Source organism: Homo sapiens, chromosome 18 (genome assembly GCF_000001405.40).
Source record: "Homo sapiens chromosome 18, GRCh38.p14 Primary Assembly".
NCBI lineage: Eukaryota > Metazoa > Chordata > Mammalia > Primates > Hominidae > Homo > Homo sapiens.
Window position 1 is genome coordinate 49,377,263 of NC_000018.10, and position 18,603 is coordinate 49,395,865.

Below are 18,603 nucleotides of genomic sequence, written 5' to 3' on the forward strand. Positions count from 1 at the left end.
TTTTTAAAAATTCTAGGCCGGGCACGGTGGCTCATGCCTGTAATCCCAGCACTTTGGAAGGCCAAGGTGGGTGGATCACTTGAGGTCAGGAGTTCAAGATCAGCCTGGCCAACATGCTGAAACCCCATCTCTACTAAAAATACAAAAATTAGCTGGGCTTGGTGGAATGCACCTGTAGTCCCAGCTACTCAGGAGGCTGAGACAGGAGAATTGCTTGAACTCAGGAGGCAGAGGCTGCAGTGAGCCAAGATCGCACCACTGCATTCCAGCCTGGGCAACAGAGCGAGACTCCATCTCAAAAAAAATAAAAATAAAAATATAAATAAAAATTCTATAATAGAATTTAAGAAATATTCCCCATAGACATGGATATACTGAAAAATCAGTACATTGTGATGTTGACCTGGATGAACAGTAACTCTTTTATACGTTTGTTTCCCTTTGTCAATATTTGACTTTGACATTTAAAAACACGTATTTAGCAACACAGTTGAAACCACAGTGAAAAATTACTCCTAGGTATATGAAAGTGTTATTATACATATGCATGAAATCCACATAGCACACAGACCTCCATTAAAAGTATACACATCTCAAAGTTCTCTCCCAATACCTGTTCCCACAAGAGATGTTAACATATGACCTTGAATCACACAGGTGACGCTGTCAGCCTGATGAGGGCAGAGATCTATTTTGAAAACAGAACTCGGAAAACTATGGGGCAACACTGCCTTGCCCTCAGAAAGGAAAGATTGTGTGAAGGGTAATCTTTCCCTGTATCTTCAGAAAAAGATGAGACACTTTGGCATCATAAAACTGTCCTTGAAAATGTTACTTCTGATAAAGTGTCGTAGTCCCAAAGACACTCAGACCCAGAAGCTATTGCTGCACGCTATGAAAGTAACCTTTACCATAAAATCTGACTAGTTGGCTCCCTTAATAATATATTGACTTGGCAATGATATTTAAAACTGACACCTCTGTTTTCTGAAAGAAATACATATTTGTGTGAGTTTTATTTTTTATATTACTTTCTTCTTCATCCACATGCATGAAAGTCAAAATAAATGAAAGCTTCAACCCCACCAGCTTTCTTATTTAAAACGAAAAACAAAAACAAAAAACGCTTGAGTCTTGACTCATTTAAATTAACACAGAAAAAGAAAAAATGACAGTATAAGTTCATTTTAAAATGAAAATTATAAGGATAACTGGAATTTTCAAAATCATACTTTTATTCCTGAAATTTTATCCTTAAATGTTACACATGATATATCCAGAACATCTTTAAAAACAATACTTACTGTAATTGCCAGGAGATTTTTCTTCATAAGTAAAATGAAGTTGTAATTCCTCCTCTGACATCTGACAGATGAACACTTTCAGCAAACAGCAAATAATAAACAAAGCATTGTGTGTCTGCCAAATGAAGATGTGGCTAGAAAGACCAAAATCATACAAGAATCAATATTTAAACATAAGCACCATAGTTTATTTCTAGTTCATGATTTCTTCCTGATTTGACAACCGTTTTGTCCATCCTATTGGTAATATTAGGATAATGTCCATATCTTTTAATGGCTCATGATTTATTTCATTGTACCAGTGATATTATGTTTTACTTCATAGTTCATTCCATGTACTTTACATAGTGAATCTACTTAATAAAAATCTTTACTGATGACTGTAGGAATGACTGTTCTTTGTTCTTAATAGGTATACCACGTACATGCGATTAAAAGAGAAGAAAGCTACCAAAAAATTTAAAAAATTGTGGTAACATAAAAAGAATATATGCAAATATGTAACCAAAATTTTCGACGAGGCATTGCCAGCAGCACGGTAAAATACTTTTTATTTGTATTAATGACCATGAACTCCCAAGAAAAACTTTATTGGATTCAATGTAATTTGTTTATAAGCAAGACAATGCAAAATATTTTAATCTTTTCAGAGACTGACATCCAAACATGGTTTTGAAAAATGCTTCAGTGCATAAAAAGTTAACCTTCCATTGATGTAAAGAATATAACGGAAATAACTGCAACAGATGTAGAATGAAATAAAACTCAGACTAAGTCATCATTTAAACTAGATAGCAGCAGCAGTGATAATGGGGGGGAGGGGAATTACCTTCTTAACGATAATTACATCATTATTCACCTTCTTAAAGAATATAATCTAAAGATTGTCTAAAAAGCTGAAATCAGATTCCCGAATCTATAATCTCACCCCAGTGACTTAGACACTAACCTAAAACCTCTCTACCTTTTTTTCTTAATAATGAGAATAATTCCTTCACAGAGATTTTCAAAAGACCACAGTCCATTTCCATCAATAAATGAAAACTAAAATTCACATTGTTAAATATAAAGCAAACATGGTTTAATTAGCCAGCTTACTTCTGACATTCTGCTGAAAGTTTTAGTTCTTTGGTTCTAGAAAGGAAGACCTTAATTAGTGCACCAAGATTTCCTGTTCGAGGATTGTTTTCAACTGCAAGAGAAGAAAAGGTTTTAAAAAGTTAAATTTAAGAACTAAAATCAAAGTGAGCTTATCATAACATTTATAAAACCAAATGTCATATTAAAATTGCTCAGTGACCAACTTTACTGTTAATTTCATACCTAATTAGAGAACTAAGCAATGAGAGAAACTGCTGCTCTTGGTCTTAATTCTGAACATCAAAAACTGATTTGCAAAATGAAAATGATAGAAACAGTACAAGTAGCCATCTTATCTCAGAATCCAAAATCATAAAGGAAAAAATAGTTAATAGACACATTCAACTTACACACTAAATCTTTCTCTAGAAAGGAGATTTTTAAAAACTCAAAAATTGATTATCTATGTCTCCAGTATATAGAATATAATAAACTATAAAAGTTTATTAAATCTAAAACACTCTTCAGATTACAAATCATTTGAATGAAAAATTAAGAAAACATATCAACAAAGCAGTGTGGCTAGAAGGGGAGCTATTTGACCAGACAAAACTTTAAAGAATTTTTTTTTAACTTTAAACGATGGGCATTTCAGCAACTGTATCAGGAATCAGAAGATTTAGTTTCTAGATCCAGGTCTATAATTAACTGAATACTGAATCTCAGACAAATCACTGTACTTCTCCAACCTCAGTTTTCTCATCTGTAAAAGAAACAACAGCTAACATATGCTGAACAACATAGAGTAGGTGCTTTACATGCATTAACTCATTTAATCCTCACACCAACCCTCCAGGAAAAGCACTAGTATCACTTGCATTTCACCGATCCTCACCTGGAGGTTGTTACTTGCTCAAGGAAACATCCTTATCAACTGGCTCAAATCTTTGACTTTAAACTGCTAGGTTGAAGCAACCTCTATAATCAAGAAATTGGACTTAAGGAAACTATAAAGCTCTATTGGGCTGCACAGCAAGTCACAGAAGCTAAGAATTCATCAGAAGGGAGAGACTATTTTGTAGAACCTTCCATTTGACTGATGAAGAGACAGGCTCAGAAAGGCTAAGCGCTGAGCTTAAAGTCAACAATATGTTAGTAGCAAACACAGTCTTTTTCCTTGACCAATGGTTTTCAAAATGTGAGATTCCAGAGTCCTGGATAATTGTTTCTCTTCTGAAGTATTTTTAACTAGTTTGAAAACTGGAAATGCAAACACTCAAACACACTGACTTAGGCTGCCAGGAAAGTTCATTCTTATGCAGATCTGGGAATTTCGCATATATTTGAACTTCTTTTTTTTTTAACATAGAAACAGGGTCTCGGTCTACCACCCAGGCTGGACAGCAGTGGTGCAATCATAGCTCTCTGCAACCTTGAGCTCCTGGGTTCAAGTGATCCTTCTGCCTCAGCCTCCCAAGTAGTTAGTGCTACAGGCATGCACCACCATGCCCAGCTAATTGTATTTTTTGTAGAGATGGTTTTGCCCTATGTTGCCCAAGCTGGTATATTTGAACTTACTGAAATGTGTCAAGATTTGAAAAAAATGAAGTTTTCCAGAATATTTTTTTAAAATTCAGGCCCATACATATATATTTTAAAATATTATACATGGGAATAAGTACAGCATTACAGCATACCTGCATTGTGCTTACTAACTGCCAAGCTCACTCCCTGCTGCATATATATTTTTGTCATGACTTAAGAGTCTATTCAAGTAACTGCCTAACTTTCTAACTGTGATAAAATGTCAAGCACTTTGCTATTCCAAGCGTGGCTCATGGACCGGCCACAACAGCATTATCTGAGAGCTTGGTGGAAGTTCAGAATCCCAGGTCCACCATACTCCTAACTGAAGCTGACAGTACTTCTCAAAGTTTAATGTGCATTTAAATCACAAGTCATTCTTATTTAAATGCAAATGGACTGCACATGTGTGAAATGTGCACTGAGATTCTGCATCTCTACCGTTCCCCAGTGACATCCACTACTGCTGCTGCTGGCTGGAGAATCCCACTGTGAGTAGCAAGGTGCAACATTTGTTGTCAATCAGCGGAGTTTTTATCCAGCCTTCACAATCAAGAATAGATATGTGATCAGATAGTAGATAATGTTAAGAGTTTCACTTTGAAACAAAAATGTCCTATTCCTCTTTAAAGCTTTAGGGTTAATGAAAGAATACCCAGAGACCTCAGGGTAAACTTTTTAAGAAAAAAAAAAAAAGAATAGTTAAGGTTTGCAAACGCATCTCTGTGGGACTTAATATTATCTAGCTATTGTAAATCCAAACAAAATGCTGAAACAAACTAAGCTGAGGGTAACATGACTACAATCACCACTCAGAATCCCAACTTTGAAATCTTTGTTCATTCAACAGCCCCCTTTATTACTGAATGGCCTTGTAATTGTTGAATGTATAAATGATTAGCTATTTAAAAAAACAAAACAAAACATCTTGTGTTTTTGGAAAGAGTAACCCGACTACTTGATTGATGTAATTAAAGCGCCGTGTACCTTCTTCACTGATTCACTCAATCAGCGTGTATTTATTGAGCTACTCATATGTGCCCACACTGTTTCAGATACTAAGGAGATACTTGTAAAGAGAACTCCCTGTCTTCATGGAGCTTACCTACCAAGACAGTTAAAAAGTTTCCATGATACTCTTTTGGATAAGATGAAGATTAGGGCAATAAGTTAATAAAATTAAATACACTCAATGATTTTAAACAATACTCCATGGTAGATTCAAGATTCCAAAATATCTCAATGGTAGAAGAAAAGAAATTTTACATGATCACAGTTAATTGGTGCAAATAAAATGCTATGTTGAAGCTGAATGAGCTTCGGGAGCCAGAGTAACAACACAGGAGGTCCGACAGGAAAGCAGAAAAGTGTAATGGGACTAGATTATAGACTCTGACGAAGTTCAAATCTCAGTTCCACCACTGACCAGCTGTAGAACACTTGGCAACTTACCTAACTGGCCCCTGCCTCAGTTTCCTCATCTGTAAAATTAAGATAACAAGAATGCTTAATAAAGAGCTAACTTACCTGATGCTAGAGCTTGAACTTGTAGCAGTCTGTTAACTAGTGATGCTTGTGTAAAGAAGGGAATGCCCCCATCCCTACAAGAATTCAAGCAAAGTTTGGGTAACATTCAGATAAGGGTATTGTAGACAGGATTTCTGTTTGAGATGAGAGATTAAATTTGCTTCTAGACCCTGAAACAAACTTTTCTAAGATCTCACCGAAAGACTCATGAGCTCTAAAATCCAACAACCAATGTAGAGAAAATACAGAGGAGAGAGGACAAGATGACCCCACGCAAGGATACAATGAACAAAATCTACGTTGTGGGAAACTCCACCACCCATTTTCTTCAATAAATACACTGAGAGAGGGAAAAGAAGAAAAAGACAGATGAAAAGGGAAACTTGCTTTGAAAAGAAATGTAAAGACATAACCAAAAATAATGTGTGAACTTATTTGGCCCCCAATTCAAACAAAATGAGACAATTACAAATTTGAACACTGAATATTTTGTGATATTAAAAGTTGTTTTTTTAATAAGATAGTGGTATTTTTTTTTAAGAATCCTTATTTAGAGATACATATTCGGCCTGGACAACACAGCAGCATACGGTGGAGGGAGAGGTAGAAAGACACTGATACAGATGTTCAATCTGGGAACTTCCAAATTCCCTCATACCCCAAAGCCAAGAAGTGAGGATAATGAAGGTCCCATTTAAACTAAGAAACTTGGACAAATAAAACCTTCTTGGGCTCTATAAATTAGGTTGGGAAACTATATCAACTTGCTCTCAAACTAAAATAACAGCAGATTCAACAAGCATCTATAGGATCTATATAAGCAACAGAGGAAATAAACACAGCCTCTCTGGGAGCAAACAATGCAGCTTCATGGGTTACACCCCATCCCCTTACTCTGCTTTATTTTTCTGAACAGCCAACATTGTATAAACCAGATATATTTATTTATTCTCTGGTTCCTCAATGAAATAGACAGCTCCATGAGGTCAGAGACCCGGGTCAGTGTTTTTTGCAGTCACAGCCCAAGCTTATAGGATAATGCCTGTAATATAGTAGGTGCTCCATAAATATGTGTTAGTTTAATGAAAAGGAGAAAATAACAACAACAGCAACCAGAGGATAAGAAATGAGTTACGCTGAAACCTCAGAAGAAAAGCTAAATCAAAATTGCCAAAAGAATTTTAATACACAGCAATCAACAGTAGACAACAGGAAAATTAATCACCTATTTTTTAAAAAAGAACAGAAATCCACTGGGGGAAATGCATGAATGAAAAGAGAGCAAGCCAGGCACAGTAGCACACGCCTGTAATCCCAGCACTTTCAGAGGCCAAGGTGAGAGAATTGCTTGTGGCCAGAAGTTCAAGATAGCCTAGGCAACATCACAAAACCCCATCTCTACACAAAATACAAAAATTAGCCAGGTGTGGTTGCGCATGCCTATGGTCCCAGCTACCCAGGAGGCCAGGCAGGAGGATTGCTTGAGCCCAGGAGGTTGAAGCTGCAGTGAGCCATGATCACACCACTGCACTCCAGCATGAGCGACAGAGTGAGACCATGTCTCCAAAAAAAAAAAAAAAAAAAAAGGCTGGGTGCAGTGAGTCACACCTGTAATCCCAGCACTTTGGGAGGCCAAGGCAGGAAGATCACTTGAGGTCAGAAGTTCAAGACCAGCCTGGCCAATATGGTGAAACCCCATCTCTACTAAAAATACAAAAATCAGCCAGGCATGGTGGCGCATGCTTGTAATCCCAACTATTTGGGAGGCTGAGGTGGGACAATGGCTTGAACCCAGGAAGTGAAGGTTGCAGTGAGCAAGATTGCGCCACTGCACTCCAGCCTGGGAGACACAGCAACACTCCATCTCAAAAAAAAAAAAAAAGAAGAGAGCAGCCTGACATTAAAAGATCTACAAACGACTAGAAATGATTAAGAAATAAACTAAAAATGCAATAACAGCTAAAACATACACTACAATAGTAAAAGAGGAGAACTGGCAGTGTAGAAAACATTGAAATCAATCATACAAAGGAAGAAATATGAGAAAAGAACAGAGACAAAAAGATAACAGAAAGTAAAGAACAGAGATCCAACCTGAACATTACAGGTGATCAAGAGGTAGGGAGAAGAAACTAAAACACAAAATCAGAGCCATAATGAAAAAAAGAAAAAAAAAAACCTTCTGAACTGAAAAAGATCTTCGTACACCAATCAAAACACCTCATCAAATTATAGGAAAAACCATAAAGAGAAAAAGCATAATGAGAAATATTTATCACCAAGGGTTAAAGGAAAAAGTCTCATGAACAAAAAGAAAAAAGAAAAAAAAAAAGGACAAATGAGGCCACAGAACTTGGAGATATCCATAGGTTAAAATGCCAAAACAAGAAGTGAGGATACCCGGCTCCTGAAAAGATTGTATTTATATGCCAAAGGGCTAAAGAGCACACTCTTTCAGGAGAGGATGGTACAGCTGCTTTTTTACCCTTTATAAAGCTGGCAAACGTTTTTCCTCATCCCTCACCTACAGGGAGTCTGACTATCATAAAAAACAACTGACCTGGCTCTCACCACATCATCCTAGTGGGTTAAGAACTAGGACAAAGAAGGACCAATGGACGTCTTATTTACTGTGAAGTATTTAATAAGAAATCTGGGCTGGGCACAGTGGCTCAAGCCTGTAATCCCAGCACTTCGAAGGCCAAGGCGGGTGGATCACCTGAGGTCAGGAGTTCTGAGACCAGTCTCACTGACATGGTGAAACTCCAACTCTACTAAAAATACAAAATTAGCTGGGTGTGGTGGTGCATGCCTGTAATCCCAGCTACTTGGGAGGCTGAGACAGGAGAATTGCTTGAACCCAGGAGGTGGAGGTTGCAGTGAGTGGAGATCACACCATTGCACTCCAGCCTGGGCAACAAGAGCAAAACTCTGTCTCAAAAAAAAAAAGAAATCTGATCCAGAAAACCTTATGTGTACATTCAGGAAAAAAGTAATAAAGCTAAACACAAAAAGCCTAACAAAAATAATGGCCAGTGCTTTGGGAGGCTGAGGTGGGAGGCATGCTTGGGGTCAGGAGTTCAAGACAAGACTGGATAAGAGTGTGAGACCCTATTCCTTAAAAAAAGAAAAAAAAAGGCAATGAATTTCCCAAAATTGTTGAAAAACATTAATCTACACATCTAAGAGATGCATGCCACCATGCCAGGTTAATTTTTATTTTTCTTCTTATTTTGTAGAGACAGGGTCTTGCTATGTTGCCCAGGCTGGCATCTAACTCTCGGCCTCAAGCAATCTTCCTGCCGTGGCCTCCCAAAGAGCTGGAATTACAGGTGTGAGTCACCATGCCTGGCCAAAAAACTCTTTTAAAAGGCAAAGAGAGCACCTTACAAGCAGCAGGAAAAAATTTCTCATGATTTTCAGGGGAACAATAATACAATTAACGTCAGATTTATCTGAAAAAAATAGAGACCAGAAGGCAGTAGAATAATATGTTCAAAGTGCTGAAAGAGAAAAAAAATGTTAACCAAGAATTCTATATCTAGAAAAACTATCCTTTGAAAATGAAGGGATCAGGAGAGAAAGAAACAACTTTACACTGAAGAAACTTGATAAATAGTACCTCAGCCAAGTGATCAACATCAACACCATCAGTGATAAGTCATATTAATAGCATGTCCCCTTGATACGGTGTGTTGAGAACAGCACTTCACCTCCATGGTCTTCCTTCCACAAACCTATAACCCCAGTCTAAGCATGAGAAAGCCATCAGACAACTCAAATTGAGGAACGTTTTGGAAAATACCCTACTAATACTCCCCAAAATCATCAAAAGGCATAAAAAATGTGGGAAATCTGAGAAACTGTTGCAGACCAGAGAAATACATGATGACTAGATGTCATGTGGCACCCTAGGTGGGATCCTGGAACAGTGAAGGCAGATTAGGAGAAAGTTAGTGAAAGTCTGAGTGAAGGGTGTAGTTTAGTCAATAAAATTAACATAAACTCATTTTACTGTGCTTTGCTTTATTGTGCTTCAAAGACATGGCATTTTTTACAAATTGAAGGTTTGTGGCAACCTTGCAGTGAGCAAGTCTATCAGCACCATTTTTCCAACAATACGTGCTCACTTCATGTCTCTGCATCACGTTTTGGTAGTTCTTGCAAAATTTCTTCGTATTTATTTACTTTTTTTTTTTTTTTTGAAACAGAGTCTCACTCTGTCACCTAGGCTGAATGTCGTAGTGTGATCACAGCTCACTGCAGCCTCAACCTCCCAGGCTCAAGAGATCTTCCCATCTCAGCCTCCTGAGTAGCTACTCAGGAGTCACCATGTCTGGCTAATTTTCTTTTAGTTTTTTGTAGAGACAGGGTCTTGCTATGTTGCTCCTGGACTCAAGAATCCTCCCGCCTTGGCCTCCCAAAGTGCTGGGATTACAGGCCACCATGCCCAGCCAATTCTTGCAATATTTCAAGCATTTTACTGTTATATCTGTTATAGTGATCTCTAATCAGTGATCTCGTTTGTTTGTTTTTTGTGACGGAGTCTCACTCTGTCGCCCAGGCTGGAGTGCAAAGTTGTGATCTCGGCTCACCGCAACCTCTGCCTTCCGGGTTCAAGTGATTCTCCCACCTCAGCCTCCCGAGTAGCTGAGATTACAGGCAACTGCCATCATGCCCAGTTAATTTTTGTATTTTTGTAGAGATAGGGTTTCACTGTGTTGGCCAGGCTGGTCTTGAACTCCTCAGGTGATACACCCACCTCAGCCTCCCAAAGTGCTGGGATTACAAGAGTGAGCCACTGTGCCTGGTCGAATCCGTGATCTTTGATGTCATGTTGTCACCAGCAAGAAGATTATGACTCATTAAAGTCTCAGATGATGTGTTAGCATTTTTTTGCAACACAGTTATAAAATTAAGATACATACATTTAACACGTTATTGCACATTTGATAGACCATAGTATAATGTAAACATAACATTTATAAGCATGGGGAAACCAAAAAATTCATGCAACTCACTTTATTGCAATACTGGCTTTATCTCAGTGGTCTGGAACTGACCCACAATATCTCTGGGGTATACCTGTACCAATGTTGATTCCTTAGTTGAAATAAATGTACCATACTAAAATAAGATAATAAAATAGGGGAAATAGCTGAAGAGTATACAAGAATGCTCTATACTAGCTTTGAAACAGTTCCATAAATCTACAGCTATTCTAAAATTAAAAGCTTGTTTTAAAAATCTCAGTAGATAGTTTTAACAGCAAATGGGACATATCAAAAGGAAAGATTAGTACCAGGCACAGTAGCTCACACTTGTAATCCCAGCACTTTGTGGGGGCCAAGGTGGGAGGATCACTTGAGCCCAGAAGTTCAACATAACATGGCAAGATCCCACCTCTACAGAAAACTTAAAAATTATCCAGGCATGGTGACATATGCCTGTAATCCCAGCTACTCAGGAGGCTGAAGTGGTAGGACCTCTTGAGCCCAGGAAGCTGAGGTTGCAGTGAGCGGTGATAGTGCCACTGCACTCTAGCTGGGAAACAGAGTGAGACCCTGTCTCAAAATAAAAATAAAAATAAAAAAAAGGAAAACATTAGAAACTAAAGATGAATTAACAGAAAATATCTCATTGAAGGTCAGAGAGAAAAAGAATGTAAACTACAAAAGAAAAAAGGCCTAACAAGTATATGGGACACAATGGAAACAAAACATTGAACAGAAGTGTAACAAGCGTCCCAGGAGGAGAGGAGAGACAGAATAGAACAAAAATTTTATATATAAACACATAATGGCTAAGAATTTTCCAATACTGATAAAAGACACCAACTCACAGATTTAAGAATCTCTACAAACCTCAGGCGACAAAAAAACAAAGAAAACCTCTCCTCAGCACATCACTCTAAGGCTACTGAAAATCAAAAGATAAAAAGAAAAACTTAAAAGCAGCCGAAGTTAAAAATTCCATTATTTTCAAAGAAGCAACAATAAGGTTGACTGCTTTCTTCACAACAAAAACAAGAAAAGCTAGAAAATAACGAAATGACACCTTTAAAGTACGGAAAATAAATTAACGTCTATCTAAAATTCTATATCCAGCAAAACATATGCTTCAAAAGCCAAGAAAAAAAATAGCACATTTTCAGACAAAAAAAAAAAAAAAGAAAAAAGAGAAGGAAAATTGTTGCCAGTAGACCAGCACTTAAAAAAATTTTTTTTTCAAAAAGGAAACTAAGTACACTCACATAGCCCTTAAAGTTGATATGCACTTATACTTATTGATGTGAAGAGGTTCCTGACATGTTGCTGCGTGTAAACAAAATATAAATAATACCATTTATATGAAATTGTCACAAAAGATTAGCAGTGATTACACATGTACTGTTTAATATGAGATGATTTTTATTTTAGCCATACCATCACATTACTGGAATTTGGGGCAATAAATGTATATCTTGTTTTGCTGTTCCCAAAAGTATTTTTAAACATGTAACACATTCCTGATACAATGTCAAGTGAAAAACACAGATTAAAATGTGTGTGTGTGTCTGTGTGTGTGTGTGTGTGGTGGATGATATATATATAAATTTATATCTATTGAATAAGTAGTAGAAGAAAAAATACAAAAATATCAACAATGCCTATGTCAGGGTTTTCAAATTATGAGCAATTACTACCTCATTTACATTTTAGTATGCTTTCCACATTATGTATAATGAGTAAATATTACTTGCTTTTTTTCGCCCCTAGATTTGGAGTCTTGCTGTATTGTCCAGACTGGAGTCCAGTGGCGCCATCATGGTTCCCTGCAGCCTCAAATTCCTGGGCTCGATCAATCCTCCTACCTCAATCTCGCAAGCAGCTGAGACTACAGGCACATGCCACCATGCCTGGTTAAGTTTTTTCAATTTTTTTGCGTGTAGATGGGTAAGATGTAGATTTTGTAAGAGATGGGGTCTTATTATGTTGCCCAAGCTGGTCTTGAACTCTGACCTCAAGCAACCCTCCTGCCTCAGCCTCCTAAAGTTACCAGTATTACAGGCATGAGCCACCACTCCCAGCTACTTTCAGTTTTCTTAATGTAATTTTTTCTTTGTTTTCTCATTGCTTTGTTATATTTTTGTTTTTTCATCTTTTAATTTTATAATTTTTTTAAAAACCCAAAGTCACCTTAAAAGCCATTATCACAGTAACTACACTAATATTGTTACATAAAACTCCTTAATTTTCAGCACTGAATTGCGACATGGCTTTTGAAAGCCAGCTCTATTTAGCAAAAAATTCCCTAAGCTATGGTTGTAAGGCAAGACAACTACTACAATAACACCTTTTCATTATCAACATAGTTTGTTTTTAAAAACAAAAATATTTGGGCCCAGGCACGGTGGCTAACACCTGTAATATCCCAACACTTTGGGGGTCCAAGGTAGGAGGAGGAAGGCTTGCGGCCAGGAGCCTGAGACTAGCCTCGGCAACACAGGAGACCCCCATCTATACAAAAATAAAATAAAATCATTAGGCAGGTGTGGTGCCATGCACCTATAGCCCCAGCTTCTGAGGAGGCTGAGGTGGAAGGATCACTGAAGCCCAGGAGATCAAGGCTGCAGTGAGCCACAATGGCACCAGTGCACTCCAGCCTGGGCAGCAAAGCAAGACTCTATCTCTTTAAAAAAAAAAATAAATCATCAAAAACTGTTTTTAGCAAAATAGTTTATATGGGAGTTATCCATACAGCTCGATTTTTTTTTTTAATGTTTTTTGAGACAGAGTCTCGCTCTGTCGCCCAGGCTGGAGTGCAGTGGCGCGATCTCGGCTCACTGCAACCTCTGCCTCCCGGGTTCAAGCAATTCTCTGCCTCAGCCTCCCAAGTAGCTGGGATTACAGGCGCCCACCACCATGCCTTGCTAATTTTTGGATTTTTAGTAGTGACGGGGTTTCACCATCTTGGCCAAGCTGGTCTTGAACTCCTGACTTCGTGATCCACTCGCATCAGCCTCTCAAAATGCTGGGATTATAGGCGTGAGCCACTGTGTCCGGCCTAGACAGCCTGATTTTAAAACAGAATATTGTTCTCACTTATTACATTCCTGTACCCTAGGTATTTCACAGACACATTGTCTTACTTTTCAAAGCACCAATGCAATCTAAGTAAAACTGCCTGCATTTTAAAAATATATACAATTTCCTTCCAATTGCTATGAACTTGAAAGTTAAGCATTTGAGAAACAAGACCTGAAAAGGGTAACATTTGCTGACATAAATGGTTTGCAATGACTACATGACACACATTGTACTGAATATTTCATATTACCTAATTTTTCCTTATAAGAATCCTGTAAATAGTTGTCCTTATCCTCAATCTATATGAGGAAATTAAGGCTCAGCTAATAGGTAGCACAGCTGAAATTAAAATCATAAAATGATTCTGGATTCCATGCTCTTTGCCATAATATCAAGTTGTTATGGAAACTTCCTAATATACATTCTTAATAGATTTTAATATTGTTCTGGTGAACATAGTCAATAACAGCACTTGGTAAATCACATTATTTTCAGTATTTCAAAATTCACAAAAAGAACAAGACGAAAGAGTGTCTATGGCTTAGCAGAGTCCATTACCACTACTGCAGATATAGCCAAGCATGTGTCATATTGCTATTGACTGAAGGGTACCTTCTAGCAGCATCTGTGAATGCCACAAATAGAAAAAATTATTACTATTGCTATCAAAGAAGAGTAATTACTTCATTAATTCAGTTCATATTATACTATCAAAATCTAAAACAAAATTTGAAAACAACACCCCACACACATTTTTCCCACTTACCTAATGACCTGCAGACTGAAATGGTTGCTTCCTCCAAGAGTTTCAACTCACTACTGGAGAGACAGAAGAATAAAGGTAATTAATGACTATAATACTAAATATGTACATGCTAATCAGTTAAAGAAATATATAAAGATAAGAAAAATAATTTAGAAGAAAAATATGGTGCACAGTAGTGAACAATAAGATCAGCAAAAAAAAAAGTTAGGCTTCAATTTTCAATATAATTAGGAAATTTACTGTATTTCTAAATATGAGACTCCTAAAGAGAAGAGCTTGGGGCACCCTGCCTTTCAGGCATTAAGGCAGCAGGGAGACTTAGAAAAATTCAAGAAAGGCACTCCAAAGTAGAGAGCTCAAGGCAAGGGCCCTGTGTGCCCAATTCTAAAGGCAGTACTAATTATAGTTTAGAAATATGCTATTATTTTTAGGAAATACATGGAGTGTCATGATTGCTACAATACTTTCAAAAAGTTCTAGAAAAAAAGGAAAAGGAAGAAATAAAGCAAGAAAAGAGAGACGATACATATATGTTTTGGTGGTTTATAAATATATAGAAAAAAGATACAAAGATACAAACATACAGAAACAGATACAGAGACAGACTCAAGATGACACAGAGAAAAGAGGCACAGATAGACAGAGACAGAAATAAAGCTTAGAAGAAAATATGTTTCTTGAGATTGCATTTGACAACAATTTCTTGGATGTGACACCAAAAAGCACAGGTATCAACAGAAAAAAACAGACATGCTGGACTTTACCAAAATTAAAAACTTCTGTGGATCAAAGGATACTATCTACAGAGTGAAAAGTCAACCCACAGAATGGAAAACAGTACTTGTAAATCACATATCTGATAAGAGATTGATATCCAGAATATACTTTTAAAACTCCTACAACTCAACAACAACAAAAACCAAACAACCCAATTTTAAAATGGACCAACGACTTAAATAGCCATTTTCCAAAGAGGATATAGAAATGGCCAATAAGTACATGAAAACATGCTCAACATCACTAGTCATTAGTGAAACACTAAAACCAGAGCGAGATACTACTCCACACCCATTGGGATGGCTTTTATTTAAAAAAAAAAAAAAAAAAAAAAAAAAAAAGAGGCCAGGCGAGGTGGGCTCACACCTGTAATCCCAGCACTTTGGGAGGCTGAGGAGGGCAGATAACTTGAGGTCAGGAGTTCAAGACCAGCCTGGCCAATATGGTGAAACCCATCTCTACTAAAAATACAAAAATTAGCCAGGCATGGTGGTACACGCCTGTGATCCCAGCTACTTGGGAGGATGCAGCAGGAGAATTGCTTGAACCCAGGAGGCAGAGGTTACAGTGAGCCAAGATCGTGCCACTGCACTCCAACCTGGGAGACAGAGTCAGACTCCATCTCAAAAAAAAAAAAAGAAGAAGAAGAAGAGGAAGAAGGAGGAGGAGGAGGAGGAGGAGGGGAGGAGGGGAGGAGGAGGAGGAGGAAAGAAGGGAGGGAGGGAAGGAAGGAAGGAAGGAAGGAAGGAAGGAAGGAAGGAAGGAAGGAAGGAAGGAAGGAAGGAAGGAAGGAAGGAAAAAAGAAAGTAACAAGTGTTAGCAAGGATGCAGAGAAATTAGGACCCTTGTGCACTGATGGTATGTAAAATGATGCAGCCACTATGGCAAAAATATGGCAGTTCCTCAAAAAATTAAACATAAAATTACCATCCGGGTAGATACCCAAAAGAAGTGAAAGCAGGGTCTTGAAGAGATAGTTGTACACTCGTGTCCATGGCAGCTCCACTAACAGTAGCCAAGAGGTAGAAGTAACCCACATGTGTACCAACAGATAGATGGATAAATGAAATGTACATACACACAATGGAATATTATTTAGTCTTAAGAAATAGGGAATTTTGACAGGCGCGGTGGCTCATGCCTGTAATCCCAGCACTTTGGGAGGCCAAGGCGGGCAGATCACCTGAAGTCGGGAGTTCAAGACCAGCCTGACCAACATGGAGAAACCCCATCTCTACTAAAAATACAAAATTAGCCGGGTGTGGTGGTGCATGCCTGTAATTTCAGCTACTCGGGAGGCTGAGGCAGGAGAATCACTTGAATGCAGGAGGCAGAGATTGCGGTGAGCTGAGATGGCACCATTGCACTCCAGCCTAAGCAACAAGAGAGAAACTTCATCTCAAAAGAAAATAATAATAAAAATAAATAAATAAAAATAAAATAGGGAATTTCAATATATGCTACAACATGAATGAACCCTGAAGACATTATGCTAAGTGAAATAAGCCAGCCACAAAAAGATAAATATTGTATGATTCCTCTTATATGAGGCTCCTAGAGGAGTTAAACTCAAAGAGAAAAAGTAAAAAGGTGATTGCCAGGGGCTGGGGATGGGAGAATAGGGAACTAGTGTTTAGTCAGTATAGAGTTTCAGTTTGCCAAGATTAAAAAGTTTTAGAGATGGATGGTGTTAATGATTGCATGATAATGTGAATATACTTAATGCCACAGAACTATATACTTTAAAATGGTTAAAATGATTATTTTACATTGTGTATATTTCACCACAATTTTTTTAAGTGCATTTCAACTCCAGTTCAACTACTTACTAGATAGTTGAGCTTGGGCTGGTTTGTTAAATCTTTATGTCTTAATTTCCTCATATATAAAACAGAAATAGTAACAGTACCTTCATAAGGTTATTATGATTAAATTAATTATATGATATCGATAAAGCACTTAGAACAGTGCCTGGCACAAAGTAAGTCCTCAACAAATGATAGATTCTGTTTCATTTGTCTGTTTTTTTTTATACCAGTACCATGCTGTTTTGGTTACTATTGCTTTGTAGTATATTTTGAAATCAGGTAACGTAATGTCTCCAGATTTGCTCTTTTTGCTCAAGATTGCTTTGGCTATTCTGGGTCTTCTGTGTTGCCATAGAAATTTTAGAATTTTTTTTCTATTTCTGTGAAAAATATCACTGGTATTTTGATAGGGATTGCATTGAATCTGTAGATCACTTGAGATAGCATAGACATTTTAACAATATTTATTCTTCCGATACGTAACAAGGGATATTCTTTGCATTTATTTATGTCTTCTTCAATTTTTTTCATCAATATCTTATAGTTTTCATTGCAGAGATCTTTACCTCCTCAGTTAAATTTATTGCTAGGTTTTTTTAATAGCTACTGTAAATGTATTACCTTATTTCTTTTCCAGATAGTTCAACAGAATAAAGAACCCAGAAATAAATCCACACATGATTTTTGACAAAGGCATCAAGAACACACAATGGGGAAAGAACAATCTCTTCAACAAATGGTACTGTGTAAACTGAATATTCACATGCAGAAAAATGAAACTAGACCCCTATCTCTAACCACTTACAAAAATCAACTTAAAATACAGACTTAAATGTACTACCTGAAACTATGAAAACTACTAGAAGACACTTAAGTAAAATGCTTCAGCACATTGGTCTGGGCAAGGACTTGTTGGATAAGACCTCAAAAGCACAGAGAACAAAAGCAAAAATAGACAAATAGGATTATATCAAACTAAAAAGCTTCTGCACAGCAAAGGAAAGAACAAAGTGAAGAGACAATCCACAGAAAAGGAGAAAATATTCACAAACTATGCATCTGACAAGGGACTCATCCAGGATACATAAGGAACTCAATGGCAAAAAAAAAAATCCAATTTAAAAATGAACAAAATACCTAAATAGACACCTCTCAAAAGAAGAAACACAAGGCCAGGCGCAGTGGCTCATGCCTATAATCCCAGCACTTTGGGAGGCTGAGGCAGGAGGATCACCTGACGTTGGGAGTTCAAGACCAGCCTGACCAACATGGAGAAACCCTATCTCTACTAAAAATACAAAATAAGCCAGGTGTGGTGGCTCATGCCTGTAATTACAGCTACTCAGGAGGCTGAGGCAGGAGAATCGCTTGAAACTGGGAGGCAGAGGTTGTGGTGAGCCAAGATTGTGCCATTACACTCCAGCCTAGGCAACAAGAGCAAAACTCTGTCTAAAAAAAAAAAAAGAAGACATACAAATGGCAATAGGTATATGAAAAATATACCTCACCACTAATCACCAGGGAAAAGCAAATCAAAACCACAATGAGATATCACATCACCCAGTTAGAATGGCTATTATTAAAAAGACAAAAAATTACAAATGTTGGCAAGGATGCAGAGAAAGGGAAACTCTCATACAATGTTAGTAGGTGCTATAATTTGGATGTTTGATCCCTACAAACCTCAT

The 18,603-nt window shown here is 37.4% G+C and overlaps 1 protein-coding gene across 41 annotated transcripts in view; it reads right to left on the minus strand.

The window, feature by feature from the left end:
• Positions 1-18,603, minus strand: part of DYM (dymeclin) — a 424,259-nt gene that overhangs the window by 340,876 nt on the left and 64,780 nt on the right. For 26 of the 41 annotated variants that reach the window (NM_001374436.1, NM_001374432.1, NM_001374437.1 and 23 more), the window contains 3 exons: positions 14,331-14,383; positions 2,403-2,496; positions 1,305-1,438 (listed from right to left, as the gene is read on the minus strand). In NM_001374436.1, coding sequence (NP_001361365.1) covers positions 1,305-1,438; positions 2,403-2,496; positions 14,331-14,383 — 281 coding nt within the window. The remainder of the gene's footprint in view (positions 1-1,304; positions 1,439-2,402; positions 2,497-14,330; positions 14,384-18,603) is intronic. The other 15 variants (NM_001374439.1, XM_047437559.1, XM_047437553.1 and 12 more) reach the window with 2 other exon arrangements.